This window comes from Homo sapiens, chromosome 2 (assembly GCF_000001405.40).
Source record: "Homo sapiens chromosome 2, GRCh38.p14 Primary Assembly".
NCBI classification, from domain to species: Eukaryota; Metazoa; Chordata; class Mammalia; order Primates; family Hominidae; genus Homo; species Homo sapiens.
The window spans coordinates 215,390,035-215,412,799 of record NC_000002.12 but is presented as its reverse complement, the minus strand read 5'-3'; the positions used below and the strand labels follow the sequence as shown (position 1 = coordinate 215,412,799).

At 39.3% G+C, this 22,765-nt stretch overlaps 1 protein-coding gene across 17 annotated transcripts in view, besides 2 other annotated features; it reads left to right on the top strand.

Annotated features, from left to right (window-relative positions):
• FN1 (fibronectin 1) overlaps positions 1-22,765 on the top strand; it is a 75,204-nt gene that overhangs the window by 23,269 nt on the left and 29,170 nt on the right. For 10 of the 17 annotated variants that reach the window (NM_212474.3, NM_001306132.2, NM_001365523.2 and 7 more), the window contains exons 14-25: positions 2,686-2,866; positions 3,061-3,237; positions 4,374-4,502; positions 4,603-4,692; positions 5,479-5,673; positions 6,290-6,562; positions 8,145-8,411; positions 13,449-13,543; positions 14,952-15,120; positions 15,577-15,663; positions 18,081-18,272; positions 20,986-21,168. In NM_212474.3, coding sequence (NP_997639.2) covers positions 2,686-2,866; positions 3,061-3,237; positions 4,374-4,502; positions 4,603-4,692; positions 5,479-5,673; positions 6,290-6,562; positions 8,145-8,411; positions 13,449-13,543; positions 14,952-15,120; positions 15,577-15,663; positions 18,081-18,272; positions 20,986-21,168 — 2,038 coding nt within the window. Of the gene's footprint in view, positions 1-2,685; positions 2,867-3,060; positions 3,238-4,373; positions 4,503-4,602; positions 4,693-5,478; positions 5,674-6,289; positions 6,563-8,144; positions 8,412-13,448; positions 13,544-14,951; positions 15,121-15,576; positions 15,664-18,080; positions 18,273-19,596; positions 19,870-20,985; positions 21,169-22,765 lie in introns of all 17 variants that reach the window. The other 7 variants (NM_001306130.2, NM_001365522.2, NM_001365519.2 and 4 more) reach the window with 1 other exon arrangement.
• Positions 1,620-1,914: a silencer, noted in NCBI's record as "tiled region #14446; HepG2 Repressive non-DNase unmatched - State 17:Gen3'". NCBI's record gives its function as "represses a minimal TATA promoter and a strong SV40 promoter by Sharpr-MPRA in HepG2 cells {active_cell/tissue: HepG2}" and the evidence as "EXISTENCE:reporter gene assay evidence [ECO:0000049][PMID:27701403]".
• Positions 20,404-21,603: an enhancer, noted in NCBI's record as "BRD4-independent group 4 enhancer chr2:216255920-216257119 (GRCh37/hg19 assembly coordinates)". NCBI's record gives its function as "activates an origin of replication core promoter dependent on BRD2, P300/CBP, MED14 and CDK7 cofactors, and independent of BRD4, by STARR-seq in HCT116 cells {active_cell/tissue: HCT116}" and the evidence as "EXISTENCE:reporter gene assay evidence [ECO:0000049][PMID:35650434]".

Below are 22,765 nucleotides of genomic sequence, written 5' to 3'. Positions count from 1 at the left end.
CCAAAAGCTGATGAAGTAAAAAAAAAAAAAAAAAAAAAAGATACTTAATATAATACTTTAAATTACAAATATAAACACAAGAAGAACAAATATAATGATACAAATGTCAGACACTGGGAATGTCCAAGATTCTGGAAGGAAAGGGTGGTATTATTGAGCTAAATCCTCAACTTTGTCTGGGCACAGTGGCTAAAAATTAGCCGGGCATGGTAGCATGCACCTGTAGTCCCAGCTACTTGGGAGGCTGAGGCGGAAGGATCGCTTGAGCTTGAGAGGCGGAAGTTGCAGTGAGCCAAGATGGCACTACTGCACTCCAGCCTGGGAGACAGAGAAAGACCCTGTGTCAACATAAATAAATATATAAATAAATCATCAAGTCTCATATTAAAGACTCTGTAAATATGACTTATTGTTGACAAATGAAACAAATAGAGGTGTAAGCATGTTGTCTACATGGAGGCAAGACCAGAATAATAGAAAATGGAAACAGATTCCCTTAAAGAGGGGAATCGTGTCTTTCTCATTGGCTCAATGTAGTCTCCGTAGAGTCTAGAATGCTTCAGCACCTGGCACACTGCTTAACAAATGGTGAATGAAAAAAAAAAAAAGAAAAGTCATTCTTTTTCTTCTTTCACCCTATGTCCATAATCTGGCCATTTGCAGAACTTGATGTCCAGTGATCGAAATCAACAGCATCAGTGCATCCAATATCTTCTAGTCTCTCATCTTCTTATTACATCATTAATTTTATTTACTTTAAAATTAAGGATATCCAAAGTATTATGTGAGACCATTGCAATGGGAGACTTAAAAGTGGTATAAAATGTACTTTGGGCCAGGCGCAGTGGCTCACGCCTGTAATCCCAGCACTTTGGGAGGCCAAGGTGGGCGGATCACGAGGTCAAGAGATCGAGAGCATCCTGGCCAACATGGTGAAACCCCGTCTCTATTAAAAATACAAAAAAATTAGCTGGGCATGGTGGCGCATACCTGTAATCCCAGCTACTCGGGAAGCTGAGGCAGGAGAATCGCTTGAAACCAGAAGGCGGAGGTTGCAGTGAGCCAGGATCACGCCACTGCACTCCAGCCTGGGCAACAAGAGCGAAACTCCATCTCAAAAAAAAAAAAAAAAAAGTACATTGAATTGGAAAGTCTTCAAAAAGCAGCAGTGATGAATTTTTTGAGATTTTTAACAATTACAAAAATTCAGGGTTTTTTCTAATGGATGCCACCTGAGACTTTATTTTCTGTTATTTTCTTGTAATAACTAACCAAACAAGCTCATGTTGAAAAATGATTACTAAATTTGAGCTAATTGCAATGACTGGTTTCAAAATTTTCCACAGTGTATTTGAGTTAAAATTTCACTGTGAAGAGTACTACGATCACTCTCGCTTATTCCAAAAATATAAATGGACACTTGAGTATTTGAATTATTGAGGAAATGGTTGACTGGGTAATTTTTAAAAATCACTGGGCACAAAAAATATATTTTGACTTATATTAGTTTAGAGTATTTACACTTGAAAGAGTCTCATCTTTTCTGAAGGGTGTTTCTTTCATACACATTTTATTGCACTGAGTTTTGTGACCCATGGCATATTAATGAAGCTGAACAGGATGTGAAATATAAACTGGAAGCAAAAGATTAAATAAACCAAAATTGCATTTTTTCTGTAGTCTTGTCCAAAATTGGGTAACCACTTCTGATGGGGTAGCTCATATCCAAGAATGAGTCACAAAACCAGACTCGTTGAACCTGGTATATGATGAGTCACAAAGCAACATTCTGCCTTTGTTTTTTCAGGACAAGAAACTTGAATTGTATCCCACTGAGTTAAAAGATAAAATATATGGCATTGGCATTTCTGTACTTCAGAGAGGAATATATCTGTTTGTGGTAGGAATAAAAAATAAGTGAGAGAGGCAAAGCTTAGGTTCATCATATTATGTTACTGATATAACACAATTAACTTGGTAAAAGTGAAGGTGTGGGTGGGCGTGGTGGCTCACGCTTGTAATCCCAGCACTTTGGGAGTCCGAGGCGGGTGGATCACCTGAGGTCGGGAGTTCGAGACCAGCCTGACCAACATGGAGAAACCCCATCTCTACTAAAAATATAAAATTAGCCAGGCATGGTGGCACACGCCTCTAATCCCAGCTACTCGGGAGGCTGAGGCAGGAGAAGCGCTTAAACCTGGGAGGTGGAGTTTGCAGTGAGCTGAGATTGAGCCACTGCACTCTAGCCTGGGCAACAAGAGCAAAACTCTGTCTCAAAAAAAAAAAAAAAAAGTGAAGGTGCCCAGTGTCTGCAACTATGTCACCCCGGGCATATCACATATCACTCTGTTTTTCCGTCTGTAAAACGGGAGCAACAATGCCATTGCCTTATCATCAGAAGGATATGGAGACTAAATGGGAGAATGTAGGTAAACAGCACAGAGTATGGGTATCAGTAAGTAAACTGCAGCAGTTTGTTGATGTTAACAATAGTTAGCATTATATCTAACTATATCTAACGATATAACCATTGGGAATCCAGTTTTCCATGATTTTCCTCTAGAATGGAGCTGCCTAAGTCCTGCTTAAGTCATTTTTCTTTGAAGATTACTGAACATCATCTTCAAATGTTCATCCTTGTAAACACGTGTGTGTGTGTGTGTGTGTGTTAATTTAAATTTTCAGAAAAATTCTGTAGGCCGTTGGAAGGAAGCTACCATACCAGGCCACTTAAACTCCTACACCATCAAAGGCCTGAAGCCTGGTGTGGTATACGAGGGCCAGCTCATCAGCATCCAGCAGTACGGCCACCAAGAAGTGACTCGCTTTGACTTCACCACCACCAGCACCAGCACACCTGTGACCAGTATGTACACAACCACCCTCATGCCTCCTACCCCCGAGGTTCCTAGAGCTAGGCTCTCCTGAGGCAATGCTTTCCTTCTCAATTCATATTCTTCCAGGAGGGGCACCAACGTTTTTTAAAATGATGTTGGCGACGAGGACGGTAAATTTTCTAGATGACTGAAGGCTGACTTTCCCCTTTCTGTGACTCTCTAGGCAACACCGTGACAGGAGAGACGACTCCCTTTTCTCCTCTTGTGGCCACTTCTGAATCTGTGACCGAAATCACAGCCAGTAGCTTTGTGGTCTCCTGGGTCTCAGCTTCCGACACCGTGTCGGGATTCCGGGTGGAATATGAGCTGAGTGAGGAGGGAGATGAGCCACAGTACCTGGGTAAGCTCAATATGTCGCTCAAGACAGGTTCAGGGCAGCTGCTGGAAAACTCTCCTTGTGGGGGTGGGTGGCCTCTAGGCAGGTGGTATCTGTGGTTTGGAACTGGTTGACAGCTCAGACTGAACAAACCACCCTCTGGCATGAGGAAGGGAAGGACTGACTCTTTCTAAGAAGTGGCCGGGTTTTTCCCAAGCCACTGTCACATGTTCCTGGTCCCTGATGCCAGCTGCATCATGCGCCTACCTGTGCACAAGTTCCTACAGCAAAAGCTGTGTTCTTGGTGGAAGTAATTACCAGGACTGCAGCTGACAATGTGAGCACAGTACGGTCACTCATACTTTTCAAATTGTTATGGTGAGGGGCCTTTAAAAAACTTCATTGGCGCACTGAAGTGTGTGCCATCGTAAGCACTGAGTTCAGTGAATTTGAATTCTTATAAAGTGAACACACCACAAGACCAGCACCCAGATCAAGGAAAAGAATATCTCTCTACCCTCACCCCATCATCTTCCGCCAATAATCACTACCCTGACTCTTACTGCAGAGAGCTATTTTTAAAAATTTGGCATTCGATTACAAAAATTATACGTCTTTAGAAAAAAAGTTGGAAAAATGAAAGGAAGAAGGAGGAGGAGGAGAAAGGAGAAAGACAAGAAGTGGTGTTTTCCCATAGTACATTAATAATCACAGATTAGGTGGGTGCGGTGGCTAACTCCTATAATCTCAGCACTTCGGGAAGCTGAGGCTGGTGGATCACTTGAGGCCAGGAGTTCGAGATCAGCCTGGCCAACATGGTGAACCTCCATCTCTAATAAAAATGCAAAAAAAATAGCCGGGTGTGGTGGTGTGCACCTGTAATCCCAGCTACTCGGGAGGCCGAGGCAGAAGAATTGCTTGAACCGGAAAGGTAGAGGATGCAGTGAGCTGAAATTGTGCCACTGCACTCCAGCCTGGGCAACACAGCAAGACTCTGTGTAAAAATAATAATAATAATCACTGATTAGCTATTAGCACATTACCTTCTAGTCGCTTTTCCCTATGAATATATAATTCTTAAAATATCCTTCTTATAAGCTGTAGAGTCATTTGAGGGACTAGTTTGCTCTGATTAGTTACCTTTTCTTTTCATTTCAAAGATCTTCCAAGCACAGCCACTTCTGTGAACATCCCTGACCTGCTTCCTGGCCGAAAATACATTGTAAATGTCTATCAGATATCTGAGGATGGGGAGCAGAGTTTGATCCTGTCTACTTCACAAACAACAGGTACATGTGTGCTACATAGTGTTAAAAGAATCTTTTTCTGTAAAACACAGGCCTGTAGTAGCACTTCCTGACTGTTTGCCCCACTTTCTTTCTTTCTTAGCGCCTGATGCCCCTCCTGACACGACTGTGGACCAAGTTGATGACACCTCAATTGTTGTTCGCTGGAGCAGACCCCAGGCTCCCATCACAGGTCAGCTAAGCGTCCCCCTCTTTGGCTGCTATGTTAATCTTAATGACATCAGCAGGGAGGGCGCAGATTCTGACTGCGGACCTGCATATCACTTTAAATCTCCAATATAATTTATGGGAGAGGGGTTTGTGTGTGTGTGTGTGTGTGTGTGTGGCGGGGGTGGGGGAGTTATTTTCTATGGCACATTTCCCCTTGAAACCATTTCACCAACTCCCTTATACACACACACCACAACATACACACAACCTGTAAAGCCAGCTCATTGGCTTATTAAAGCAAGTGTTCCCAGGGTTGAAGAGGTGTAATTTCCTGAAAACGTTGCTCTAAGATTTATCCTTAAGGAGAAAGCTGAGCTGTCGTCTTAGCTCATTAGGTGATTCAACTGCCTCATCACTGAAGTTCCAAAAAGACACACACAGTGCTAGACAACTCTGCTTAGGCTGGTTCATTAATTGCTTCCCTCGTCTGGAGCTCAAAGAGGAAAAATCAGCTTAACATGAATATTTTCACCTAATGGCATCTCTAATTGACATTTATTAAGGATGTCAGGTCTTCAAGGATGACATTTATTATTAAAAAGGTTCGCATGACTGTTCTTATTTTATCTTCGTGCTGAATAGTCATTATTAGAAGAAGTGGCAATATTCAAAGAGTCAAAAAGTATCACTGGCTCTTCACTAATCAAGCAAGATGCTAAGGGATATTAGAAAAGGGAGGATTTATGGTGTTTCTAAGCCTCTGTCTCAAAGAAAACAGTGCATCTTACTTTTGCTCATGAATCTGCAGGGTACAGAATAGTCTATTCGCCATCAGTAGAAGGTAGCAGCACAGAACTCAACCTTCCTGAAACTGCAAACTCCGTCACCCTCAGTGACTTGCAACCTGGTGTTCAGTATAACATCACTATCTATGCTGTGGAAGAAAATCAAGAAAGTACACCTGTTGTCATTCAACAAGAAACCACTGGCACCCCACGCTCAGGTAACTTTTTTAAGAAGACACTTCCTATGTTATCTTATCAGGATTGTTCCTGAAGGAGGGTTGTTTTGTCTCTGTCAACAGTCCTCTCATTCAAGAAATCTTATATATTAGTTTTTCCCTAAACTTCTGATATTTAGCTGAAATGTCATAAGTAACTTATCAAAGCTGGCTACTGGCCTTTCTGATTAAAAACTGACACCATAACGTCCATCTACAAATTTTCCCCTAGAAGCTTAAGGGTCATTTCATTTTTGATTCTTAAGTATTATAAAATGATTCAGTAAAACAAAAACTGTTACATTATTTTCTGCAGTTATTTCAAAGGCTTTTTCTAAAAAATTTTTTAGTATCTTTTCTTATAACCCTCTCCCCCCACCACCATATGACACTTCATATGCTGGTAACTCACTTATTACCTATTTTAGATAAAAGGTTCAAATGTCATAATTTAAGCACTATGACTGGACCATGAAAATGTGATCTGATTAAGAGACAAAACTTAGCAAAACTCTCGAATGAGAGGCTCAATGAACTGCCTAACATATCCAAGAAACTGGCTTCTTAAAAGTAATCTTCAGCAGAGAATGTGAATGACCAGTTGACTCTTGTCTGTCAGATACAGTGCCCTCTCCCAGGGACCTGCAGTTTGTGGAAGTGACAGACGTGAAGGTCACCATCATGTGGACACCGCCTGAGAGTGCAGTGACCGGCTACCGTGTGGATGTGATCCCCGTCAACCTGCCTGGCGAGCACGGGCAGAGGCTGCCCATCAGCAGGAACACCTTTGCAGAAGTCACCGGGCTGTCCCCTGGGGTCACCTATTACTTCAAAGTCTTTGCAGTGAGCCATGGGAGGGAGAGCAAGCCTCTGACTGCTCAACAGACAACCAGTATGTCTTCTCCTATCTCTATCTCCCCTCCAAATTCTCCACCCTCACTTGCAGCCTGTGAGAAAGTGCAGTAAACCATTCACTCAGAGGTGTATGGCTTAGAGAGAGGGAAATACCCAGCCGGCAAGGGAATGCATAGTGAACACAAAGCACATTAAACTTGAAAACAAAACTCAGACAAGCTCCATGGATGCTAAGTGGTAACCCATTTCTAAAATACATGTACCAGCTGAAGGGTACTAAGAGGGGAGAACTGAAGAGAATCTAATTTGAGTGCATTTTTCGTGTAACTAAATATATCTAGATCAAAGTTAAAATGCAGGATCATAACACTTAGAGTAGAATTCATTTAACAATAGCAATTGTCAAGTGTCTAGTATTACTAGCCACCAGCTTATCTGCTCAGTTTTTACAAGCATTATTCTCATATTTACTCTTTGTTTTGACCTTAGGAAGGAAGGTCTTATTATTATTATTTTATTTATTTATTTTTTTGAGATGGAGTCTCGCTCTGTCGCCAGGGCTGGAGTACAGTGGCACCATCTCAGCTCACTGGAACCTCTACCACCTGGGTTCAAGCAATTCTCCTGCCTCAGCCTCCCGAGTAGCTGGGACTACAGGCGTGTGCCACCATGCCCTGCTAATTTTTGTGTTTTTAGTAGAAATGGGTTTCGCTGTGTTGGCCAAGCTGGTCTGAAACTCCTGACCTCAAGTGATCCACCCACTTTGGCCTCCCAAAGTGCTGGGATTACAGGCGTGAGCCATCGTGCCCAGCCGGAAGGTCTTACTAGTATCCGTATTGAATACTTAAAGAAACTGAGGCTTTAAAAAAGTTCTGCAACTTGTAGGGTCACAGAGATAGGAAGGGATAGAGCTGGCTCTATAACCTATGTCCGAAGCCCATGCTCTCAATTATTATACTCGACTGCCTCTTAAAGATTTCCTCTATTTGAAAGGTAATTTAAATTTCGGTGGGAAAACTGCTGGTTATTATTCTCAAGAATAAACTCCACAACTTATGTGATTCTGATAGTGCAAACTCACCAGTATCCTACCATGAATCTGAGGATACGTTATCATTACTGTAATTACTGTCTAATCTGAACCATGTGAAAATAACTTTTATTTCTCTAGCAAAGGGCTATTCACAGAATATTGCTTTTGACCCATAGAGAGCTTCTTCTTGCTGTCATTTTAGGAGGCATATCCCTTTTTCCTTAATCTGTTTGGCTCAGAGCTAACTGTGAACTTCAGAAGTGTTTGTTTTGCCTTTTTAAAAATACCATTGCTTTAATGTAACTATAATTTCTGAGACTGATGCGAAAGTCTTGCTGGAAAATTAGACTTCCCAAAGGATCACAGTCAAGCAAAATGGTTCCACAATTTCTCATGACTGGCAGAGTTTTGGCAAAGTTTTGTGTAGCACTCAATCTCTTACTGGCTCAGTTTTTCCAGGGTTTTGACTTTCACATAGTTACAACCTTGAGGAGAGAAAACTTAGACATTCAATCAAGTTTCAGGACTTGAGTTATGATCATTACTGATCTAAATATTTCTTGGCATGTTTCATCTTTTTTCCTAGAACTGGATGCTCCCACTAACCTCCAGTTTGTCAATGAAACTGATTCTACTGTCCTGGTGAGATGGACTCCACCTCGGGCCCAGATAACAGGATACCGACTGACCGTGGGCCTTACCCGAAGAGGACAGCCCAGGCAGTACAATGTGGGTCCCTCTGTCTCCAAGTACCCACTGAGGAATCTGCAGCCTGCATCTGAGTACACCGTATCCCTCGTGGCCATAAAGGGCAACCAAGAGAGCCCCAAAGCCACTGGAGTCTTTACCACACGTAAGCTGAAAATTAAGTGCCTTTTCTTAACTATATTTACATTCTCTATTCTTCATGCTTTAAAACAAAACAAAACAAAACAAAAAAAACATTAAAAAATTAGTACATAATTTAAATCAGTGATACTAAAAATGTGCTCCATAGACTGGCTGCTGGCCCGTTAATTGTTTGCTGCTAGTCTGCAACAAGAAAAACGGTTGTGCCAGAACGTAAATCACAAAGCACACTGCTTAGTACAGCTGAGAATTTTTCTGAAGCCAGATTTTCTTGATGAAGGAAGCAGTGTGTTAATTTGCACACATTGCCAAGCTCGCTCTTTCCTCTAGGGCCAGCACTTTGAGTAACATGGGTTTAAAGCAGTCTGTTATTAGAAAAATTAAATTCGATTACATTAAATGAATTTACCAAACACTAGTTAACGCAAGAAAAAATTAGCACCTATGTCTACATTCTATTACTTTGGGCATTGAATAGTAACTATAAATGCAGAATAAAAATATCTATGGATTGAATGGGAACCAACTAATTGAACATGAAGCCAAGGAAATGATTTCTTTATGAGTGTTGGCTGCAGAAGATTAAAGTACTTTTGCAGACGGAATCGCTCTTTTCTTAAATTACTCTTGAAATTCCTCAGAGGAGAAAAATACTAACAATAATTTTTGGTCATGTCTATCCTTTTGCTCAACATTTTAAAGGAAGTGGTCTTAAATCTCCCACATATCTACATCACAATAACAACCTCTATTCACAAACCGATTCCTATTAAATACATTTCCATTTACATTACAGAGAATTATGAGACTCCTTATTTCTAGCTGAACATCATTTGTTATTTTCAACTCGACATTTTGAATTATAGAAGCACCTAACATAAGTACTTTTTCAGCATATATTCTAACCATGGACTAGTTTGCAATTTTCTAAGAGCTTTCAACAAATGTTACTCTTCGACTAATTTAAAAGTATGGATGTTAAAAAGCATTCAAAAAGTCCATACAAGCCTAGTTTGTAAATAACTATGGAATTGATTTCCCAAAGAAAATACAAACTTTTCCCCATAAGAATTCATACTTTAAGAAAAACTTACTTCCATTTAAATTTACTGTATGAAGTTTGGCTCATGAAGGCTTTTTCCTAAATAATAGTTAATCGTAAGCAAGTAAAATTCACTTTTAATTTGCAAATAAGCTTACTTGAAAATTTGGCTAAAATTTTACACGGTTCTAAGATAGTCTAAGATCTACTCTCATGAAATTAATGTCTTTATATTTCTTGTAAATATTCATTTCTTATAAATGTCCTTCAGTGAATTAGAATGGAGATTTCAGTGAATGCGCCCTTTCAGTAGATGTCGTCTTTTACTAAAATGTAGAATTCTATAGTTGTCTTGTTCATTCCTTAACATGAGACATATTTTATGTAGTTTCTTTTGTTGAACACAGTGCTTATAAAAGAAAAAGCATTTTTAATGATGCTAACAATAATTAAGGGAAGGTGGTGGGCCAAGATATTTCAAGTACTTCTGAAGACTGATATATTGGATATATTATTTTATGCTTTGCATAATACATTCATATAAAATATAATGATTTTAACTGAAGTACTGATAGCCAAAACTAATTTTATTAGATAAAGGTTAACATAGTGTCTGGAACATTGTATGCTTTCAAAAACTATTTGGTGAATAGATAATTGAGAAAGGAATAATAATAAAAACAGCTAAATGAAGCTTATATTTAAATAAACTAATGTAAGCAGGGTATTCTACAACTCCATTTGAACTTTAAGCACTCCCTAAGGCTGTAAACATCCACAAGGCTTGCATGTTTTTGAAATTACTAAATTTCTGTAGTTTTTTACTATCTTACTAAGCTGAATTCTGGGAGTAACTTTTCTGAGTTTTATAACTTGTGCTAAATTCTTAAGAGCAAATGTGAGAAAAGTTAGGGGAAAAAGCTGTTTCTGGGGAAAATTCAGCTTAGTCTTATATTGATAGGGCAAATTTTATTTCTTTAACAGCTGGGCTGTTCTTCCCTAACAAGACCTGCCAGAACCCATAGCTCACACTTAGAATCACATCCTTTGTTTGACATCGTTTGTGGGTTTGTGGTTTGGTGATTTTCCCATAATGGCCTTCCCAGGCAGAGAGCATCATCTTAAACTTGGGAAGACTCTAGGTGGCTGGCTCAAGCAATAGAAAATACCTAGTCTTAAAGCCCAGGACAGTTGAGGCGAATATAATTTGTAAAAAAAGTTGTGGTTTTCACAGATGTTCAGTGAAAGAAACTGACTGTTCTCTGAATTGTTTTTTGTGGGCCATTAAAAATGGTCACACAGGGCTGGCCATGGCATTTTGGCACAGTCACCAGCAGTCAAGTGGTGTATAATTTCAGAGGTACTAAAAGGCATCGGGTCACCCATCCCAGTCATGTCCCCCCACCCCCCACCAAACACCATCAAAATAATAACATACATAGATGAAACAGCCCACTAAACCAGTAGTACCTCAATTCAGCCATTAGAGCTATCATTATGAAGTGGCCCACACATATATTTGGCTTTTTCTCACACAATATTTTTAAAATAAAAATAAAAAATGGCTCCTTAGAATCCAGACTGAAAAAAAAATGCGAGAATTGCGATGTTGATTCTAAATTCCCACATGGCAAAGAAAAAAAAATTGACTGGAGTTGAGTTGAGACTGGAGTCTGAACACTTTTTAATCCCTGTTTGTATAACTCTGGAGACTAATTCTTTGTCTTGCCAGCCATTCATAATTTAGTATAAATGCATTCAGAGGTTTTTTCCCAATGGGAACAAAATTTGATTGAGATGTAAAGAGAGGAAGAATTGTGGAGATGTCAAACATGTGACCAGAGCTATGAACACACTTGATACCCTTGAACTTAAACTTACCCAACTCAAAATATCTGGCCTTCTGCGATCTTACCTTTCTACATTTATAATAAGATTTGCAAGGTTGTTGGAAATCTCTATCTTAACTTTATATATACATGCCTCTTTCTTTCTTTTTCTTTCCTTTCCTTTCCCTTTCTTTCTTTCTCTTTCCTTCCTTCCTTCCTTTCTCTCTCTCTCTTTTCTTCCTTTCCTTTCCTTTCCTTCCTTTCTTTCTTCCTTTCTTTCTTTCTTTCTTTCTTTCTTTCTTTCTTTCTTTCTTTCTTTCTTTTCTTTCTTTCTCTCTCACTCTCTCTCTCTTTCTTTCTTTCTTATTTTTGGTGCTAAAACCCAAAACAAATCTTTTATTTAAAAATAAGATTTTTTTTTTTTTTGGCCAGGTGTGATGGCTCATGCCTGTAATTCCAGCACTTTGGGAGGCCGAGGTGGGTAGATCACCTAAGGTCAGGAGTTCGAGACTGGCCTGGCCAACATAGTGAAACCCCATCTTTACTAAAAATACAAAAATTAGCTGGATGTGGTGGTGGGCAACTGTAGTCCCAGCTACTTGGGAGTCTGAGGCAGGAGAATCACTTGAACCCAGGAGGCTGAGGTTACAGTGAGATGAGATTGCGCCACTGCACTCCAGCCTGGGTGACAGAGCAAGAGTCCATCTCAAAAAAAAAATTGTTTAAGTAAAATTTTATTTTCTTTCTTTTTTTTTTTTTTTTTTTTTTTTGAGATGGAGCCTTGCTCTCTCACCCTGGCTGGAGTGCAGTGGTGTGATCTTGGCTCACTGAAACCTCCATCTCCCAGGTTCAGGTGATTCTCCTGCCTCAGCTTCCCAAGCAGCTAGGATTACAGGCATCCACCATCACACCTGGCTAATTTTTATATTTTTAGCAGAGACAAGGTTTCACCATGTTGGCCAGGTTGGTCTTGAACTCCTGGCCTCAAGTGATTCACCTACATCAGCCTCCCAAAGTGCTGGGATTACAGGCATGAGCCACTGCGCCTGGCCAAAGTAATATTTTCAATAAGAAAAATAACAGTGATGTCAGGATGCTAGAAAATGCAAAATAAATTTGTTATAATTCCTGATTCTGGTGATAAAATACTAAATTTTTGCAGTATTATTCTGAAAGAATAATCACGTATTTAAAGTACAAATCTTTAGACTTCAAAGTGCATCCATGGTGGCAGATTTTGTTTAACTTTTATATAGCATCTTTTATTGCAACCAAAAATAGCTGACCATTATTGTGGAATAATTCAGCGTAAAGCTTTTTTTTTTTCTTTTTTTGAGACGGAGTCTCATTCTGTCACCCAGGCTGGAGTGCAATGGCATGATCTCGGCTCACTGCAACTTCTATCTCCAGGGTTCAAGCGATTCTTGTGTCTCAGCCTCCCAAGAAGCTGGGACTACAGGCATGAGCCACCATGACAGTTAATTTTTCATATTTTTAATAGAGACAGGGTTTCACCATGTTTGCCAGCCTGGTCTCGAACTCCTGACCTCAAGTGATCCACCCACCTCGGCTTCCCAAAGTGCTGGGATTACAGTCATGAGCCACCGATCCCCGCCCAGCATAAAGCTGTTTTTAGATCACCTTCTATAATTTACCATTGTTCTTAAATTAATGGTTAAGAAACAATATGATAATCAGTTTGTGGTGGCCAGTTTTACATTTTATAAGGGATTTTACACTGACGATATAGGGAAATTTATTGTCATCAAAGTCAAATCCCAACAATCATAAAAAGACATGAATTAGATTATATAATTTCAATGAAAGGACCACCTTAGCAAACATCTAACCCCTTGTTACTCAGGTATCATTCACGGGCCAGCAGAATTGGTATTATCTGTGTTTGTCAGAAATGCAAACTCCCTAGTTTTTTGTTGGACCTCCAGAAACAGAATCTGCATTTTAGCCAGACCCCAGATGATGTGTGTGGCACATTAAAGATTGAGAAGCCTGATCCTCTCCCAATTCTCACCCAATGAAAAAATATGTTACATCCTCTATCCACTGCTTGGTTAAACTGAGGTTCTCCATAAAAATACTTGTTATCTATATGCTATGCAATCATCTGTGAGTTTGAGTTTTGAATATGTGCATTGATTCTCTCTCACAGTGCAGCCTGGGAGCTCTATTCCACCTTACAACACCGAGGTGACTGAGACCACCATTGTGATCACATGGACGCCTGCTCCAAGAATTGGTTTTAAGGTAAACTGCAGATGTTCCTAATCTCTGTGATACAGCCCTGAGCTGTCCTTGTGGTTCCCATGTAGTGGAAACAGGGTGCTCAGGAGTCAGGAGACCTGGGTTTTGTCACCTGCTTCTGTCCATACATCTTTGACTACATTGTCAGGGCCTAACAGTCCTTCCCTGCCTACCTCACTGAATTGTTGGAAGGGTAGATGGAGGCTGCGAAAGTGTTTTGCAAAGGATAAAACATTAGCACGAAGCTGCTGCTTATTGTTATCTTATTTTCTCTATCCTTTCCTGCAGGGAATTACATTTCAAAAAAACATGGGAAAACTTTATTTGATGTGTTGTTCTAAATGAGTGTGAACAAGTTCACAAAAGCCAGTTTAGGGAGACCAGTTAAACTCAGAGTCACTTAAAAATCGCATTTTCATCCAATCAGTTTCATCTCCAACTGTTCAAAGCACTGAGGGTGAATCTCTTAATAGAAGTTAAGATTAAGGTTTCCCTGTGGATATCTGGATTCATCTTCTTTAAAGTAATGATATTAGGGAAGCGGTGAATACAAATGAATATGTTTAAAAGAATTCCATTCTTTGGCATTTAGTGTGAAGAGAGAAATATTTGTTATCGCTGGAAATCATGACTCAATCCCCTTGATCGTTTAAAAAAATACACCAAAGATAAAGTTTGTAAATGGCCATATTTATGATTATGCTACTCAAATATAGAAGAACTTTCTGAAGAGTGCCAGTATACCTTTTAATTCCCTTAATAATGTCATGCTGACTTTCAGAAGCCTTATGATGTGTGAAGGATCTCTCTAGAGTTGAACACTATTGGATAACAGTGTTACCTAAGTTTTTGAAATAGAATCTTAAAAGGATTTTAAATTATGGGCATAGTTATTCTAATTCTTCTCTTGTAATGTATCATCCTGCAGTTGAAGCTATGTACATATCTCTTCAAAAGGTGTGTTTTTGCAATACAGTTGCTACAGGGGCTGGTGCCTTTAAATGGCAACTAAAAGGTTAATTGAATGTGAATAACTCGTTAAAGGGAGAGCTCAGACATTCCTTCTAGCACACACACAGAAAAATAGAAATGAACTACCATGTGACCCACAGTCCCTGTATACGTCTGGTTTGTAACAAGAGATTCTTTATCAAGCAAAACAGTATGTAATGACATTTCTCTGGAACCTTCCATTACAAGCCACCTTAATGCAGTTTGGAAGATACCTCCCCCACCTGGGGGAATTTCCAGCTAAAGTATATAAAAGAGTCCCCAAATCATTTCCCAATAAAAGTACACTGTGCAGTTTCTGAAGAGTTTACACTATTTAAAGCATAATCATAGCCTCACAGCAGTAACAGTCCTCTGGAAATATTTGTCCTTGGTGTTTACTTTGCATTCCTTCCTCTAGCTGGGTGTACGACCAAGCCAGGGAGGAGAGGCACCACGAGAAGTGACTTCAGACTCAGGAAGCATCGTTGTGTCCGGCTTGACTCCAGGAGTAGAATACGTCTACACCATCCAAGTCCTGAGAGATGGACAGGAAAGAGATGCGCCAATTGTAAACAAAGTGGTGACACGTAAGAAGAATTTTTTCCCTTTTCTATTAGTTTTTAAAACTGTTCTACTTTTCGAAAAAAGCTAGTGTCAATATCACTTTTTACTTATGAGAATGGCACAGGGGAGATATCTTATCCTTACTTATATTATTAATGCTATTCCTGAATTTGGAGTAGCAGGTTCAATTCATGCTTTATATTTTATGGCATCAGAAATGTTCTTTCCATGTCAAGAATATTTATGAACTGGCAAGATGAAAATAATTTCAATAGTATTGCAAAATCATTAATCATAAAGAAGTCTTTGTCAGAGAATTACTGCTGTCCATCATATTTTCATAATGTAACCTATATTTTTATGGGAGGGAGGGAGGGAGGGAAGAAGCATGGAAGAGAGGGAGGTAGGGAAGGAGGAAAGATTACACAGGTCAAGAGCTTTGTGTCAGCTTTGACTTTTAAAATGTTCTTTCTGCATAGCATTGTCTCCACCAACAAACTTGCATCTGGAGGCAAACCCTGACACTGGAGTGCTCACAGTCTCCTGGGAGAGGAGCACCACCCCAGGTAAGTTTGGGATGGATCAGAGGGCAAGTATACACCATACCTTCCCAAGACAAAGATTTTAGAAACTGTGTTTCTTTCAGAGAAAGAAGGGATTCAAATTACAAATGCTTAGCTCTCCATAAAAACTATAGCAGTACATGATGTACATCATGGAGCAGCCTGCAGGATGCTTTAATGCACGTTGACTTCAATCACAGGAAGCAGAACAACCTTACACTAGTCTAGGGGGACAAGACAGATCCTCACACAGCTGTAGGGCTGAAGAAAAGCACTGTGGAAGGTGGCTTTTGCTGAGTGCATTAAAAATTGCCAAACAAATGGTTGAAGTCATATTACGTAATTTCCCTTTTGTGAGTTGTTACAGAGCCTAAGTTTATTATTCCCTGAAGTTTTATGAATGTTTTGTCATGGGTTGCACCACAAATATTTAAGGGTGATGAAAGGCAGAAATACCTTCATTTTACAGAATAAGAAAACTGAGACTTAGAAAAAATTGGCCTACTCATAGTCACACATTTTAAATGTTACAAAACTGGGATTGTAACTTAAGTTTGTAGACTCCTTCTCACACCCAATGTCACATATTTGGAATGTAATTTTTTTTTAATTATATTCTATGCAAACTGAAAATTCTGATTAAGGGGTTTCCTGACCATTTTTAGAGCTTTAAATGAAGCATTTGTCTAAATTCCTTGTTCACATATATTTGAAAATTATTTATAAAATGCTAAAATGTATAAAGATAGTTGTTAACAATATTCAAACAGCATGACGTACTATAGCAATAACAGGAAATTTTAGATACCCATTACTTTTGCCAAAACCACATGGAAGTCTCAACAAACCTATGGAGAAAAATCTTAAACAAAAATAAAAGTTCCAATTAATGTTGATTGCATTCTTACCTCATATACTTGTTAATTTAAGGGATATGTTTAGGTTATTATTTAGCTATTTCTAATTTTACTGTAAAATTCTTGTGAAATTTTTGTTTAAAAAAAAGTATTATATAGTTCTTATCTTTGCCGGGGCACAGAGCTAAGGCTATCATCTCTAAATCTGATTAATGTATGCAAACACACAGAATGAAACTAGCTCAGAATATCTCTTTTAATCTCCCTCTGAAGTAGAGTGATTTTGGTAAAGTTTTCATTATCTGCGGAAACATTGTTTAAGCCAAAGCTATACAATTTCCAGCTGAGTTGCTCTGAATTTGAAACTTTAAGTTGACAATCTTCGTGCTTGTTAGCAGCAGGATCATTAATATCTCGTCTCAATGGCCCAGCCCACACATATGGATGACCACTAGCAAGTGTAATGATCTCAATATTTATTTCTCATTCAGTTGGGTTTCCTTGTATTTGCCACATTAGTGTTTACCCTGTTCCTAATGGCAAAATATTCTGTCATCTCCTTGCCTTTTATAAAGTTTAATATACTTTCTCATTTTAATCTGTCCCCACAGATCTCTAGTCATCACTGTTTTTATTTGAATGTCTCTCATCCCTCTCAACTCTTTTACTGCCCAATTTCTGTGATTCCTGAAGACTTCAACAATCAATACTCTCTTTTTTTGTTTGTTTTGTTTTTTTTTTTTGAGACAGAGTCTCACTCTGTCACCCAGGCTTGGAGTGCAGTGGCGCCATCTCAACTCACTGCAACCTCCGTCTCCTGGGCTCAAGCGATTCTCGTGCCTCAGCCTCCCCAAGTAGCTGGGACTACAGACATGCGCCACCAAGCCCAGCTATTTTTTAGATTTTTAGTAGAGACAGGGTTTTACCGTGTTGGCCAGGCTGGTCTCGAACTCCCAACCTCAGGTGATCTGCCTGCCTCAACCTCCCAATCAATACTCTTTCTAGAATAAGTATCAGCACTTTTGTTTCTCACCTTTTCTCCTTTCTTGGTTCTCTTCCTATAAATCCCATAGTTTCAGACCTTTTAAATTAGGAGAGCTCTCTGGGGAATGTGCTTAAGGTGGAGAGCGATTCTATACTAGGCAGGTAGAAAGGAATATTCCTCAGCTGTCTTCAAATGATTCATTAAGGAAAAGCAGGGTACAGTGATAGGACCATGAGATTTGGAAACAAAGAAAGCTTTGGGGAATCACTCCCCTGGTTCAAGATTTCCTTTAAAGTGAGGATCTTGGCGGAGGTTGAAGTGAGCCAAGATCACACCGCTGCACTCCAGCCTGGGTGATAGAGGGAGACTGTCTCAAAAAATAAAAATAAAAAAATAAAGTGAGGATCTTAGTACTGCCTGAAAGGATTGTTGCAAGCATTGAATAACAGTGACAGTGGAGTCCTCAGTAAATGCCAAGTCCTGCATTCCGCCCTGTGAATCCATCATTGGAGTCTAGTTAAATATGCTCTGGCTCACAGATCCTCTGTGCAATAACTTCCCTTTTCTTTTTTCTCCAGACATTACTGGTTATAGAATTACCACAACCCCTACAAACGGCCAGCAGGGAAATTCTTTGGAAGAAGTGGTCCATGCTGATCAGAGCTCCTGCACTTTTGATAACCTGAGTCCCGGCCTGGAGTACAATGTCAGTGTTTACACTGTCAAGGATGACAAGGAAAGTGTCCCTATCTCTGATACCATCATCCCAGGTAATAGAAAAATAAGCTGCTATCCTGAGAGTGACACTTCCAATAAGAGTGGGGATTAGCATCTTAATCCCCAGATGCTTAAGGGTGTCAACTATATTTGGGATTTAATTCCGATCTCCCAGCTGCACTTTCCAAAACCAAGAAGTCAAAGCAGCGATTTGGACAAATGCTTGCTGTTAACACTGCTTTACTGTCTGTGCTTCACTGGGATGCTGTGTGTTGCAGCGAGTATGTAATGGAGTGGCAGCCATGGCTTTAACTCTGTATTGTCTGCTCACATGGAAGTATGACTAAAACACTGTCACGTGTCTGTACTCAGTACTGATAGGCTCAAAGTAATATGGTAAATGCATCCCATCAGTACATTTCTGCCCGATTTTACAATCCATATCAATTTCCAACAGCTGCCTATAAAATAGTTTTGTCCCTGTATGTGAGCACTGAAACAGCATTTGGTTGACACATCTAGTTTTTCATCTTGCAGTTTCAAATCCTTCTTTTTGAAAATTGGATTTTAAAAAAAAGAAGTAAAAGTCACACCTTCAGGGTGTTCTTTCTTGTGGCTTGAAAGACAACATTGCAAAGGCCTGTCTAAGGATAGGCTTGTTTGTCCATTGGGTTATAACATAATGAAAGCATTGGACAGATCGTGTCCCCCTTTGGACTCTTCAGTAGAATGCTTTTACTAACGCTAATTACATGTTTTGATTATGAATGAACTAAAATAGTGGCAATGGCCTTAACCTTAGGCCTGTCTTTCCTCAGCCTGAATGTGCTTTTGAATGGCACATTTCACACCATACATTCATAATGCATTAGCGTTATGGCCATGATGTTGTCATGAGTTTTGTATGGGAGAAAAAAAATCAATTTATCACCCATTTATTATTTTTTAACCTTCTTCATGCAAGCTTATTTTCTACTAAAACAGTTTTGGAATTATTAAAAGCATTGCTGATACTTACTTCAGATATTATGTCTAGGCTCTAAGAATGGTTTTGACATCCTAAACAGCCATATGATTTTTAGGAATCTGAACAGTTCAAATTGTACCCTTTAAGGATGTTTTCAAAATGTAAAAAATATATATATATATATATTCCCTAAAAGAATATTCCTGTTTATTCTTCTAGGGAAGCAAACTGTTCATGATGCTTAGGAAGTCTTTTCAGAGAATTTAAAACAGATTGCATATTACCATCATTGCTTTAACATTCCACCAATTTTACTACTAGTAACCTGATATACACTGCTTTATTTTTTCCTCTTTTTTTCCCTCTATTTTCCTTTTGCCTCCCCCTCCCTTTGCTTTGTAACTCAATAGAGGTGCCCCAACTCACTGACCTAAGCTTTGTTGATATAACCGATTCAAGCATCGGCCTGAGGTGGACCCCGCTAAACTCTTCCACCATTATTGGGTACCGCATCACAGTAGTTGCGGCAGGAGAAGGTATCCCTATTTTTGAAGATTTTGTGGACTCCTCAGTAGGATACTACACAGTCACAGGGCTGGAGCCGGGCATTGACTATGATATCAGCGTTATCACTCTCATTAATGGCGGCGAGAGTGCCCCTACTACACTGACACAACAAACGGGTGAATTTTGAAAACTTCTGCGTTTGAGACATAGATGGTGTTGCATGCTGCCACCAGTTACTCCGGTTAAATATGGATGTTTCATGGGGGAAGTCAGCAATTGGCCAAAGATTCAGATAGGGTGGATTGGGGGGATAAGGAATCAAATGCATCTGCTAAACTGATTGGAGAAAAACACATGCAAGTATTCTTCAGTACACTCTCATTTAAACCACAAGTAGATATAAAGCTAGAGAAATACAGATGTCTGCTCTGTTAAATATAAAATAGCAAATGTTCATTCAATTTGAAGACCTAGAATTTTTCGTCTTAAATACCAAACACGAATACCAAATTGCGTAAGTACCAATTAATTATAAGAAATATATCACCAAAATGTACCATCATGATCTTCCTTCTACCCTTTGATAAACTCTACCATGCTCCTTCTTTGTAGCTAAAAACCCATCAAAATTTAGGGTAGAGTGGATGGGCATTGTTTTGAGGTAGGAGAAAAGTAAACTTGGGAGCATTCTAGGTTTTGTTGCTGTCACTAGGTAAAGAAACACCTCTTTAACCACAGTCTGGGGACAAGCATGCAACATTTTAAAGGTTCTCTGCTGTGCATGGGAAAAGAAACATGCTGAGAACCAATTTGCATGAACATGTTCACTTGTAAGTAGAATTCACTGAATGGAACTGTAGCTCTAGATATCTCACATGGGGGGAAGTTTAGGACCCTCTTGTCTTTTTGTCTGTGTGCATGTATTTCTTTGTAAAGTACTGCTATGTTTCTCTTTGCTGTGTGGCAACTTAAGCCTCTTCGGCCTGGGATAAAATAATCTGCAGTGGTATTAATAATGTACATAAAGTCAACATATTTGAAAGTAGATTAAAATTTTTTTTAAATATATCAATGATGGCAAAAAGGTTAAAGGGGGCCTAACAGTACTGTGTGTAGTGTTTTATTTTTAACAGTAGTACACTATAACTTAAAATAGACTTAGATTAGACTGTTTGCATGATTATGATTCTGTTTCCTTTATGCATGAAATATTGATTTTACCTTTCCAGCTACTTCGTTAGCTTTAATTTTAAAATTACATTAACTGAGTCTTCCTTCTTGTTCGAAACCAGCTGTTCCTCCTCCCACTGACCTGCGATTCACCAACATTGGTCCAGACACCATGCGTGTCACCTGGGCTCCACCCCCATCCATTGATTTAACCAACTTCCTGGTGCGTTACTCACCTGTGAAAAATGAGGAAGATGTTGCAGAGTTGTCAATTTCTCCTTCAGACAATGCAGTGGTCTTAACAAGTAAGCAGTTGAATGTATCTGTTCCATAAATATTAACCTAGAGCATAGCAAATGAATTCTAAATTCTCAAGTAGGAGGAGCTAAGAGCAAGAGAGCTGCAACCAAGCTACAAACTAAACTCTGAATTCAATGCACAGCTCCATTAATTTTGAAAGATGTAATGTTTGTTGCTATCTTAATATACTTTTGATATCTACAGCTTTAAAAAAATCATAGTGGAAAAACACCTGCAGGAAAGTTCCATGACTTCAAACAAATTCTGCTTCTAAATAAGCACGTAAAAATAAGTGAATATCAAGAGAAATTATATGACTAAATCTAAATCTTTAGAGAAAAAAATGAGAACTGAAAATAGTGTCACCATATGTGCTTTATTCTCATTTTTATAAAAAAAGTGTCAGCAGTTGATTGATTTAGGATTTGAATACTTAGAAAAGTGACTGATTGTTTGGTCTAGATTAGAATGTTGTTGTGAAGAGAGTCAGAAGTTTAATTTGTACTTCAAAAAGAATCTGTTAGAAGGATTTCTCAGAAGACTGAGAGCTTAGAAAAAAAACTGACATTAAATAAATAACAACAATTTATGGAAATTGTCTCTTTCTAGTCCCAACCATTATAGAATAGACATCTTTTGTTAAAGAATAAAACAGTAGGCTGCAAGATGGTGCTGTGTTTCACATAAACAGTGCTTTTTATTATTTTCACTGTAATAGTCAAATATATAACAACAGCAAAAGATTCTACATAAGGGAAAAATAGCTTACATTTAGGTACATTACCAAGTATTAGTCTGAAAACATCTACCTTTCAAACATAATTTAGATAATGAAACACAAAGAAGAGCAGCTCAGCGTGACCATAATCTTGGTTTCTTACTTTGTGGCTGAGGGCAAGAATATCTTTATATTGGCATATCCACCACCCCAGGGCTGTTGCTTCTGTTCTAGAGCACCCTGGAATCACTAATTACAGCATCACCCAGTATACAAGCCCCTGCATCACAATGTCTGTCCCTTAGCCGTAGACCTGTCACATGCTAATCATGTGTTCTAAGACCTTATTATAATCCTAATGCTACAGATGACCTCAGGGTAGCCCCTCTCCCTCCTAGCAAAGTCATTATTATCCTCTTTTAAAGATGAAGCAAACCAGTGCAGTGGCTCTCGCCTGTATAATCCCAGCACTTTGGGAGGCTGAGGTGGGCCAATTGCTTGAGCCCAGGAGTTCGAGACCAGCCTGGGCAACACAGTGAGACCAAGTCTCTACAAAAAATACAAAAATTAGCCGGGCATGGTGGTGCACACCTGTGGTCTCAGCTATGTAGGAAGTTGAGGTAGGAGGATCACCTGAGCCTGGGGAGGTTGAGGCTGCAGCAAGCCATGATCGTGCCACTGCACTCCAGCCTGGGTGACAGAGTGAGACCCTGTCTCAAAAAAATAAACAAACAAATAAACATGAAGCCGTCGAGGTCCCCAGCAGTTAAGTAAATTGCCACTGGCCAGCTAGTATGGTGGAAATGGAATCCAGGCATCTGGTCCTCCATTCTGGCACTTTTCCAAACTTTTGTAGGGGGCTTTATAGAAACGCTGAAGGGCAA